We start from the raw sequence: 11,869 nt of genomic DNA, 5'->3' as shown, positions 1-11,869 counted from the left end.
TGTGTCTGAGCCCCGAATCTTGCTTTTCCCTTGACCTTCTGAGGAAACCTGGATTCCTGGAGATTGGACTCAGTCCCTGGAGCTCATCAAATACCAGCCATGGTCCCTCCTGGGGGTGAGGGTTCAGGAGTGACCAAGGCGGGCACAGCCAAGGCCGAGACAGGCGAGTTTGGAACCTCAGTCTGATGAGGGGCTTGTGGAACCCCAGGCCCGCCCCCAAGACAGCAGGAGCTGGGGTGCATCAGGAGCCGGGATGCATCAGGAGGCTGGGGTATATCAGGAGGCCGGGGTGCATCAGGAGGCCGGGGTGCGTCAGGAGCCGGGGTGCATTAGGAGGCTGGGGTGCATTAGGAGGCTGGGTGTGTCAGGAGCTGGGTGTGTCAGGACCTGGGGTGAATCAGGAGCCGGGGTGCATCAGGAGGCTGGGGTGCATCAGGAGCCGGGGTGCATCAAGAGGCCAGACCCCACAGCCCATGCAGCTAACACCTGCCCCCGCTGCTGCCCCCGCTTGTGAGATGGACTGGTCACCTACAGCCAGCCCCTTCTGGGTTCCTTCCGTGCTCACAGCATGTCCTGAGGTCGGGTGCAGTGGCTCTCGCCTGGAATCCCAGCACTTTGGGAGGGTGAAGTAGGAGGATCTCTTTGAGCCCCGGAGTTCAAGACCAGCCTGGGAAAATAGGGAGACCTCGTCTCTACAAAAAATATATATATTTTTTCCTTTGAGACAGTCCTCACTCTCACTCAGACTGGAGTGCAGTGGCGTGATCTCGGCTCACTGCAAACTCCGCCTTCCTGGTTCAAGTGATTCTCCTGCCTCAGCCTCCCAAGTAGCTGGGATTACAGGCACCCGCCACCATGCCCAGCTAATTTCTGTATTAGTAGAGATGAGGTTTTGCCATGTTGGCCAGGCTGGTTTCGAACTCCTGACCTAAGGTAATCCACCCGCCTCAACCTCCCCATGTGCTGGGATTACAGGCGTGAGCCACCGCGCCCGGCCTAATTTTTGTATTTTTAGTAGAGATGGGGTTTCACCATGTTGGCCAGGCTGGTTTTGAACTCCTGACCTCGAGTGATCACCCTCCTCACCCTCCCCAATTGCTGGGATTACAGGCATGAGCCACCACACCTGGCCTACAAAAAATGTTAAAAACGTGTCCTGACTGGGCAGATACAGGCCCTGGCACCGGCCTCCCACACCTGCACTAGGACTTCCCACACTCCAGCGGGCCAGCCCATCCTGCATACCCCTAAATGTCTCTTCCCGACAGCCGGGCAATCCTCCTGGACTCCGTTTCCTGGTTGCACCTCTGTCCCCCAGGCACTGTCTTCCCAGAGGAGGGCAGGGCCTGTCTGATTCATCACTCGGGTTGAGAGAGGATAGGCTGTCCCTTATGACCTGAGCGTGAGAGGGTCATCCTGGCCGCTAACCCCTTCATCCCCAGCTCGGGAAACCGAGGCAGCGTGTGGTCCAGGTTGCCAGGAAGCTATAGCAGCAGAACAGGACGGAGCTCAGCCTCGGGTCTGGATGGGCTCACGCTCCCTGGCTGCCTCCGAATAAGTGGAACCAGCTGGCTTCTCGGCAGGGGTATCTGGGCCCCATAGACACTGGCTTTGCTGGGGCCCAGCGGCACTAGCCCCTGTGGCTGGGGAATTAGTTATCGGACCTCGTGGCCAACCCCTGCATCCGCTGTTCATCCCTCCCCGGCCCCGGCCACCTAGCCCAGCCCTGCCACCACCGGCCGAGACCTCATCCCAAGCCCCAGCCTCCAGCCTCGCACCGGGGATGGCGGGGGTTTGCTGGGATAGCTGCGGGGTCACAGCCTCCAGCGAAGGACAGACAGAGTTCAGGTGTGCCCGGACTGCTGACGTTCAACCCACAAGCCTACAAGCCTCGCTGTCCGGGACCAGTTCCCTGCGTCCATTTGACAGGTGGGGGATCAGGATGTCACGTGATGGAGAAACACAACCCTGACACCAGAGCTGACCGGCCTGGAAACCAACACGCTGTCCACGCGGCACACCTGCCTGCCCTGTCTGAGCCAGATGCAAAGGCTGAAACCCAGGGTCCCAGTGGCCCAGAGGCCTCAACCCCCAGTGGGAGAACGTGTCAAGGCCTTAGAGGCTAACTGGCCTCGTTAGAACCTCCAGGAACGGCAGGGAGGCAGGAGAGGAAGGAAGTCCCGTTTTCCAGCCCCACGGTTTCTCCCGCAGAGGAAGCAAGGCCTGCCTCACCGCTGCACCCCTCAGAACAGCCCCCCACACTGTAGACTGCTCTCTGCCCACTCCGTCACCTCCTAGTGAGCTGATGAACTTTGCAAAGCCCTCTGCAGCCACAAAGCCCTGAGCCCAAGGCTCCCCCCACCACATGCTGTGTGGCTTAGGGAAGGTGTCCCAACCTCTCTGAAATCCAATTCCTTCTCTCTGAAGTGTTGAAAAAGGTGTTGAGTATCCACTCTGTGGCTGGGCCCTCGGCCACAGTCATGTGGGGACAGAGTTCAGAGCACGAAGCTTTTTTTTTTTTTTTTTTTTTTTTTGCAATGGAGTCTGACTTTATTGCCCAGGCTGGAGTGTAGTGGCACGATCTCAGCTCACTGCAACCTCCGCCTCCTGGGTTCAAGTGATTCTCTCACCTCAGCCTCCTAAGTAGCTGGGATTACAGGTGCCCGCCACCATGCCTGGCTATGTATTTTTAGTAGAAATGGGGTTTCACCATGTTGGCCAGGCTGATCTCGAGCTCCTGACCTCAGGTGATCCTCCTGCCTCAGCCTCCCAAAGTGCTGGGATTACAGGCATGAGCCACCATGCCCAGCCCAGGGCACGAAGCTTTGAAATGAGGCCCACAGACAAAAACAGAAGGCTGTGCAGACCGGGAGAGGGAGAGGTCAACTTCCTGGGGAGGCAGACAGAAGTCCCCAGAGAATAGACCAGAATGAGCCTGTTCCTCTCAACCATTTCCACCCCAGAGAGCCACTCTGACCTGCTCGGAAAAGACTGGAAGTAACCCAGCTGCCCATCACTAGAGGATACGCTGGAGGAGTCCAGGACCTCCAGCCAACTACAAAGCCACTTTTAATTTTATCTATGTATTTATTTTTAAGAGACAAGGTCTCACTCTGTGGCCCAGGCCAGAGTGCTGTGGTGTGAGCACAGCTCACTGCAGCCTTGACCTCCTGGGCTCAAGAAATCCTCCCACCTTGGCTTCCCAAAGTGCTGGGATGACAGGTGCGCACCACTGCACCTGGCCTGCTTTTAATATTTTAAAAGGAGAAATTTAATATTTTACATTCCACATTACATTGAAAATTTAATATTTTACAAAGAGTCAGAGAAGAAAAACCCAGTTACAGCCAGAAGGCACAGAGAGATTTGGAGAGAGATAGGGAGAGGCAGAAACAGAGGCGGAGACGTAGAGAGGGAACCGAGAGAGAAATGAGGACACGGCGGCCGGCCCGGCCCGAGACACTGGATCCCCCAGGCCTCCACTCTCCTGGCCCCGTATAAAGCCCCAGCCCCAGCAGGTCCCGCCAGCCAGCCCGCCGTGCCAACTGCAGGCTGCCCCCTGCCCCTGGCCCAGACCTCACCCTTTCAACTCCCTGCCCATGGTCAGCGCAGCCCTCGGATCACGATGTCGGGGCCGTGGCCGTTGGCCCGGGAACCAGCTTTGCTGCCTGTGCCCGCGGTCAAGTGCTGGCCGAGAGCCCTCGAGTCTTGTCCTCGGAGGCCCCACTCTGGGAGACATTGGCGGAGGCCCTGGTAGATAAGACAGATGGGCCCTTCTTGCCCCCAGACCAGCCAGAGATCCTCAGGGTACCACCCCACTGCAGGTTCCGAAGGAGGACGGGAGCTGGATGTTACTGATAGTCAGTCTGGGGCGTCTGCCCCAGACACTGACCCCACTGCCTTCTCCAAGGTAGCTCTGGTTCACGGAACCCTCCCCCAAAGGAGGACCTCAGGCGGGTCCTTTTGTCATTCCCGTTCACAGATGAGGCAGCTGAGGCCCAGAGAGGTTAAGCAGCTTGCACAGGGTAACACAGCCAGAATCCTAGCGTAGGAGGTAGGCTGCCTGCCGCTCCATCTACCCCACCGTGCCTTTCCTCTGCCCCAAGCCAATGGGGCTCCCAGCCACCCGCATCTTGTGGGCATAGAAATGAAGTCCCAGTGCCTAAAAGAGGCAAAGAGAAAAGGGAATGAGACCGGGTGCGGTGGCTCACGCCTGTAATCCCAACACTTTGGGAGGCCGAGGCGGGCGGATCACTTGAGGTAAGGAGTTGGAGAGCAGCCTGGCCAACATAGCGAAACCCCATCTCTACTAAAAGTACAAAAATTAGCTGGGCGTGGCAGCGGGTGCCTGTAATCCCAGCTACTCAGGAGGCTGAGGCGGAAGAATCCCTTGAACCCAGGAGATGGAGGTTGCAAGGAGCTGAGATCACGCCATTGCACTCCAGCCTGGGTGACAGAGTGAGACTCCATCTCAAAAAAAGAAGGAAAGGAAAGGAGAGGAAAGGAGAGTGGAGGAGAGGGGAAGGGAGGGGAGGGGAGTGGAGGGGAGGGGAGGGGAATGAACGCACTGTGGCCCCAGGAGCTGGGAGAAAGCAAGTCACCGTCGGCCTCACGCCGCAGATCCATTCCTGCCTTGAACGACCGAGGGGAGGCCTCCCTGCACCTCCAGAACACCCGTGCAAGGACCCGGACAGTACCGTGTAGCGTGAGACCTTCTGCCACAGAGGCCCCTGCTGCCCATCACCGCCTGTTTCTGGGTGTCGATTTCCTGCCTGGACCCAGACAAGGACATGGATATGAAGGGAAGAAGGTTTGTAAACAGAAGAAGCTGTGCCCACGAGGAGAGCTCCTAGGGTTCAGGAATTGTTGGTTTGAGCCTGGGGACCGCCCAGGGTGAGAGAGGTTAGCACACCCCTGGGGCCAGGCACTGTGGCTCACACTTGTAATCCCAGCACTTAGGGAGGAGGAGGTGGGAGGATCTCTTGAGCCTAGGAGGCCAAGGCTGCAGTGATCTATGATTCCGCCACCTCACTGCAGCTTGGGTGACAGAGCGAGACCCTGTCTTAAAATAAAAAGGACAGTCCTGGGGGTCCCAGCTCCACGGCTAGGGCTCAAGCTCCTGGGATCTCACCAGGTCCCTCCCACTCTGCGCCTCCCCAAAGCCCCCATTGTCCACAGGAATAAGTCCGGGCTCCTCCGCCTTGCCCATTAGACAGGGGCTTTCCGGGCAGGCCTAGGTCTGTCTATGAACTCCGGGCCCTTCTGCCTCCAGTGTCTCACACTCTCTACCTCCCTTCAGGACTCAGCTCCGTGGACCCCCGCCCCCCACCGCCACTGCGTGGCCACGCTGGCCTCGACCGTGCTGACCAGAGCCAGCAGGGGTCAGGATTCACCCAGGAATGACGGGCCCGAGGCCGCTAGGGTTCCAGTGCCCGACAGAAGACAGAGTTCTGCACGCCGGCCAGTGAACACAGACCAGAAGCAGTAAGGGAACAGGAAGCTGGGGGTAATGGGCACGAAGTCAGAGACAGAGATGCCCGTGGGTTCCGCTTTCATTGTTGAAAATGCTTCTGACTTCCATTTCCCTGACCTCATCTCTGCCCCAGCACCAGAGGCGCCCCAAAATTAATGCACACCCCAAACCAATGCTCCTTCCACCAGGTGCCGCTCCAGCTTTCTGCATCCAAGGAAACAGCTCCATGATTCAGGCTTACACCCTCGGGTGCCCTTCCCTGCTGTTTCTCTTGCCTCCCACATCCCAGCCATCAGCAAATGCTGACAATTCTACCTTCAGAATTGTTCCCAGGCCAGGCACGGTGGCTCACGCCTGAAATCCCAGTGCTTTGGGAGGCCGAGGCAGGAGGATGGCTTGAGCCCAAGAGTTCAAGGCCAGCCTGGGCAACATAGAGAGACCCCCTTCTCTGGAAAACAACAGAATTGATCCTGAAGCTTTTAAGGAACAAACAGCACCAATCCTACCCAAACTCTTTCAGAAACTAGAGGAGGAAGGAACACTTCCCAATGTGTTTTATGAGGCCAGCGTAACCAAAACACATTACTGAAAATCAAAGGCCAATATCCCTCATGAATATCGATGCACAAATCCTTAATATTAACAAATTGAATCCAGCTGTCTATAAAAGGGATTCTCCATCATGACCACCAAGTGGGGTTTATCCCAGGAATGCAAGGTTGGTTTAATACCCAAGAATCAATGTGATTAACCACATTAGCATAAGAGAGGAAAACCATATGATCATCTCAGTAGATGCAGAAAATTCAGCACTCACTTGGACAAAATTCAGCATTCATGCAGATTAAAAACACGCAACTAGGAATAGAATGGCATATCCTCAACCAGATAAAAGATGTCTATAAAAACCCTACAGCTGTCATCCTCAATGGCGAAGGACTGGGTGCTCTCCCCCTAAGGCCAGAAACAAAAGAAAGATGTCCAGTTCCACTGGTTCTTTTCAACATTGTACTGGAGGTGCCACACGGTGCAATAAGACAGGAAAATGACATATAAGACAAACAGCAGAAAGGAAGAACTAAGGCCAGGCACAGTGGTTCAGCAGCTCATGCCTGTAATCCCAGCACTTTGGGAAGCTGAGGCAGGAGGATCACTTAAACCCAGGAGTTCAAAACCAGCCGGGGCAACATGGCAAGACCCTGTTTCTACCAAAAAAAGAAAAAATTAATGGGCATGCTGGCATGCACCTGTGGTCCTGGCTACTCAGGAGGCTGAGACGGGGGTGGGGGTCACCTGAGCCTGGGAGTTGAAGGCTACAGTGAGCTATGACTGCACCACTGCATTCCAGCCTGGGTGACAAAGCGAGACCCTGTCTCTGGAAAAAAAAAAGAGAGAGAGAGAGAGAGAGAGAGAAAGAGACAGGCATATCAACCAATTGCAGTAAATGGACCTTATTTGGATTCTGAGCTGAACAAAGTGTGAAAAAATTTTAGAAGGCAGTCAGGGAAACTGGACACTGCCTGGATATTTGAGCATATTAAGGAATTACTGTCCATTTTCTTAAAAAATGATAATGGAATTGTTGGCTGTGTTTTTTAAGTCATTGTATTTTAGAAATGCAAATATTTATGGATGAAATTACTTCGTGTCTGGGATTTGCTTTGATATAGTCTGTTGGGGAGGGTGGAGAGGGACTTATGGAACCAGATGCATCACACTTTGGGGATGGCTTTATGGGGGTTCATTACGTGATTCTCTAAGCCTTTGTTTGTGTATAAAATTTTCCATAATAAAAGGTTAAGCCAGGCGCTGTGGCTCACGCCTGTAATCTCAGCACTTTGGAAGGCTGAGGAGGGTAGATCACGACGTCAGGAGTTCGATACCATCCTGGCCAACATGGTGAAACCCCGTCTCTACTAAAAATACAAAAATTAGCTGGGCGTGTTGGTGCACACCTGTAATCCTAGCTACTCAGGAGGCTGAGGCAGGAGAATTGCTTGAACCCAGGAGGCGGGGGTTGCAATGAGCCGAGATCGCGCCACTGCACTCCAGCCTGGGCGACAGAGTGAGACTCTGCCTCAAAAAAAAAAAAAAGTAATATAAGCAAGAGTTTCCTTCAGAATCTGATGTGGGTGATTAATTTCCATGTAAATCAGAGGAGAGTTGTGTTTTTTTTTTTTCTCGGCCACTGCGCCTGGCTGAGAGAATTTTTTTTTAATAGTAGATGGATAAATTTCATTCTAAACCTAGAACTTACTCTGGGGGTCACTTATTTGTGGGGACAGCTAATTTTTGTATTTTCATCGTGTTGGCCAAGCTGGTCTCAAACTCTTGACGTCAACCGATCCACCTGCCTTGGCCTCCCAAAGTGCTGGGATTACTGGTGTGAGCCAGCGCACTTGGCCAATATGCATATATATTTTTTGAGACAGGGTCTTGCTCAGTCGCCCAGAATGGAATGCAGTGGTGAGATCCTGGCTCACTGCAATCTCCTCCTCCTAGCCTCAAGCGATCCTCCCACCTCAGCCTCCTGAGTAGCTGGGGCTACAGGCATGCAACACCATGTCCAGATAATTTTTTTTTTAAAGAGATGAGGGTCTCGCTATGTTGCCCAGACTCCTGAGCTCAAGCGATCCTCCTGCCTCTCCCTCCCAAAGTGCTGGGATTCCAGGCACGAGCCACTACGCCCGGCCATTGTCCCCTTCCTGTCCTCGGTCAGTGTCTCCCCACCCCTTGTCCTGAGTGGAAGCCTCCTGAGGGCAGGGACGGCGCCTGAGCCTGGCATGGACGCAGCACCTAGTAGGAGCCCAGGCGATGTCGAGAAGTGCAGTTTCTTTTGCATCCTGCAGGACGAGGGAGGTGGGTTTGATGTCCCGTGGAGCACCCCAGGCCCAGCAGCTCAGCTGCTGGGTGATCTTGGGGTGTCCCTCAAGTCTCTGGGCCCAGCATCCCTGGCAGGATGCATCTCCCTCGGTTCCTCTTGGAGAGCTGCCCGGGGGGCGGGGGCAGGGAGAGCGTGGGAGGGGGATGCAGGCGCGGCTTTGAGCCTCCCAGGCGGTGGGGTGGGAGCACCTGGTTGCTAAGGTTACGACCACCTGTGATGGGACGTTGCCATGGAGACTTACCACCTGGGCGGAGAGGGCGGCTCCAGATGGGGAAGCCGTGGGAGAGGCTGGGGGGCAGGGAGGCAGCAGCCCGCAGAGGGGGGCATCCTTCTGGGGACGGCCGTGGTGGGGCCGAGGGGTCTCCTGTCCTGTGCTCTCCTGCCTGGGAAAACCAGCAGGAACTCTTCTGCAGCAGGAACCATTTCTAAAATTAAAAGCCCTCCTCCTCTCGCTCGCTCTCTCCAGCGTGAGGGACGGGACCAGATGCGGGCGGGAGTGGCAGTCATGTCCCAGGGAGGGAGGCTGCGGGGGCAGGTGGCCTGGGAGCCTCCCGTGTGGCCCCAGACAAGTGGCCACCCTCTGTAACTGGGGAAAGAGTCCTTGGCTGCTAAGAGGCAAACGTGTAGAGTCCTGGAAGCCTTGGGCTCCAGATGCCTGAGGTCAAGCCCCAGCTTCAGCAGGCAGATGCTGTGTGACCTGAGGCTAGTGACCTAACCTCTCTGAGTCCCCAAATTCTCATCTGTAAAGTGGGAATAATAATGAATCCAGGCCAGGCACAGTGGCTCACACATGTAATCCCAGCACTTTGGGAGGCTGAGATGGGAGGATCACTTGAGGCCAGTTCAGGACTGCAGTGAGCTATGATTGCACCACTGCACTCCAGCCTGGGCAAAATAGCAAGACCCTGTTAATTAAAAGTTAATCTGGGGGCCGGGCACCGTGGCTCACGCCGGTGATCCCAGCACTTTGGGAAGCCAAGGCGGGCAGATCACGAGGTCAGGAGATTGAGACCATCCTGGCTAACATGGCGAAACCCCGTCTCTACTAAAAATACAAAAAAATTAGCTGGGCGTGGTGGCAGGCGCCTGTGGTCCCAGCTACTTGGAAGGCTGAGGCAGGAGAATGGCGTGAACCCGGGAGGCGGAGCTTGCAGTGAGCTGAGATCGCGCCACTGCACTCCAGCCTGGGCGATAGAGTGAGACTCCGTCTCAAAAAAAAAAAAAAAAAAAAAAAGTTAATCTGACCCAGGCTCAGTGGCTCATGCCTGTAATCCCAGCACATTGGGGGGCCGAGGTGAGCGGATCACTTGAGGTCAGGAGTTCTAGTCCAGCCTGGCCAACATGGAGAAACCCCATCTCTACTAAAAATACAAAAATTTAATGAGCCTGGTGGCATGCGCCTGTAGTCTCAGCTACTCGGGAGGCTGAGGCAGGAGAATTGCTTGAACCCAGGAGGTGGAGGTTGCAGTGAGCCAAGATTTGCACCGCTGCACTCCAGCCTGGGCAAACAGAGTGAAACTCTGTCTCACAAGATATAAAAAAAGCTAATTTAAAAAAGCCAGGTGTGGTGGCACATGCCTGTAGTCCCAGCTACTTGGGAGGCTGAGGCAGGAGGACCACTTCAGCCCAGGAGTTCCAGGCTGCAGTGAGCCATGATCACACCACTGCACTCCAGCCTGGGTGACAGAATGAGACCCTGTCTCTTAAAAAATAATAATAAAAACTAATCCCTCATCATTTTGGGGAGGAGTAAATGGACACATAATATTACAAGACTGGGCTGGGCACAGTGGCTCACACCCGTAATACTAGCACTTGGGGAGGCCAAGAAGAGAAGATCACATTAGGCCAGGAGTTCAAGACCAGCCTGGGCAACTTAGTGAGACCCCATCTCTACAAAAAATAAAAAAATTAGCCAGGTGTGTTGCCACTCACTTGCAGTCCCAGCTTCTCGGGAGGCTGGGGTAGGAGGATCACTTGAGCCCAGGGGGTTCAAGGCTGCAGTGAGCTATGACTGCGCCACTGCACTCCAGCCTGGGTGACAGAGCGAAACCCTGTCTTAAAAAAGGCTGGGGCCGGGCTCGGTGGCTCACGCCTGTAATCCCAGCACTTTGGGAGGCTGAGGCGGGCCGATCATGAGGTCAGGAGATTGACACCATCCTGGCTAACATGGTGAAACCCTGTCTCTACTAAAAATACAAAAAAAAATTAGCCGGGCCTGGTGGCGGGTGCCTGTGGTCCCAGCTACTCGGGAGGCTGAGTCAGGAGAATGGCGTGAACCCGGGCGGTGGGGCTTGCAGTGAGCCGAGATCGCGCCACTGCACTCCAGCCTGGGCAACCGACAGGGTGAGACTCCATCTCAAAAAAAAAAAAAAAAAAGAAGAGAGGGTAGAGCTTGCACTGGACCCATCAGCAAATTACTGGACATCTTAGCAGGCATGTGCCACGCAGGGAGAGATGGAAGGTCGGGGTGGAGACGCGAGTGAAGAGGGGGAAAGGGGCGGGCAGAGGTCTGGGGGAAGGGCGTTCTAGGCAGAGGGAGCAGCCCGTGCTCAGGCCCTGCAGTAGGAGCCTGGCCCAATCTCCACCCCCAAGGGCTCGGGAGCACTGGCCACAAACCGGGCAGAACCACTGCAGAGTCTCTGCAGCCCCGGGAGAAGATGGGAACTGTTCCGATCTCCATTTTGCAGAGGTGGAGACCGAGGCTAGAGGGACATCCCCCACGGTTACACAGGCAGGGCCTCGACTGGACCCCAGCTGGCATCCCTCACCCTCCAGGACTCATAGCAAGTGTCTCCTCCTCCGGGAAGCCTCCCTGGCCCCTGGCTTCGGTCCGGGACCCGGTGTCACTACTGCCTCTTCCACGCCGCTTTGTGACGATTTCATATTTCAGGCATCTGCTCCCTCTGTCCGAAGAAATCCCCCTTGAGGCTGGAAGCGTCTCCTCCTCCTCCCTCCAGCCCTTGGCCTGGTATACAGTAGGTGCTCAATGAACACCTTCCTCCAAGAGCCCTGAGAGCCAGCTATCAGGAGCATCACTTTACAGAGAAAGAAACACGTTCAGAGAGAGAAGGAGACCTCCCCTACTGGGGTCACACAGCACAGCAGCCCAGGGCCATTTGGTGGGGAGAGCATGGGGTGTCATGAAGTCCTTCTGGACCTCTCTGGGGCCAGGAATTGAACCATACCCGCCCCCCACAGCATCCTGTGGGGGGCCTGGCCTGCAGCCTCCCAGGGATGCGGTTTCTGGGCCTCCAGCCAACGCGACAGTCTGGGAACAGAGCCTGCTTGAGTCACAGGTGGCTGCGTGAGTGCCAGGCCACCGCCAAAGCCACTGGGAATACACAGCTGGTGGGGAGGACTGCAGAGTGGGTGAAGGGGGCAGACAGGGCAAGGTTACACACACAGGTTCCCGAGGCCTCCTTCTCACCCCTCACTTGGGACAAATGGCATCTCCCAGCCTTGGTTTGCTCATCTGTGAGACAGGGAGGCTAAATGTGGCTTTTAGAAGA

General features: G+C 55.5%; 2 annotated features.

The window, feature by feature from the left end:
* Positions 5,138-5,227: an enhancer, noted in NCBI's record as "active region_13677". NCBI's record gives its function as "activates an Ori minimal core promoter by ATAC-STARR-seq in GM12878 lymphoblastoid cells {active_cell/tissue: GM12878}" and the evidence as "EXISTENCE:reporter gene assay evidence [ECO:0000049][PMID:35858748]".
* Positions 5,418-5,477: an enhancer, noted in NCBI's record as "active region_13676". NCBI's record gives its function as "activates an Ori minimal core promoter by ATAC-STARR-seq in GM12878 lymphoblastoid cells {active_cell/tissue: GM12878}" and the evidence as "EXISTENCE:reporter gene assay evidence [ECO:0000049][PMID:35858748]".

This window comes from Homo sapiens, chromosome 19, assembly GCF_000001405.40.
Source record: "Homo sapiens chromosome 19, GRCh38.p14 Primary Assembly".
In the NCBI taxonomy this organism is placed as follows: domain Eukaryota; kingdom Metazoa; phylum Chordata; class Mammalia; order Primates; family Hominidae; genus Homo; species Homo sapiens.
Note: the sequence above shows the minus strand (reverse complement) of the source record. Positions and strands in the feature narration are given on the sequence as shown.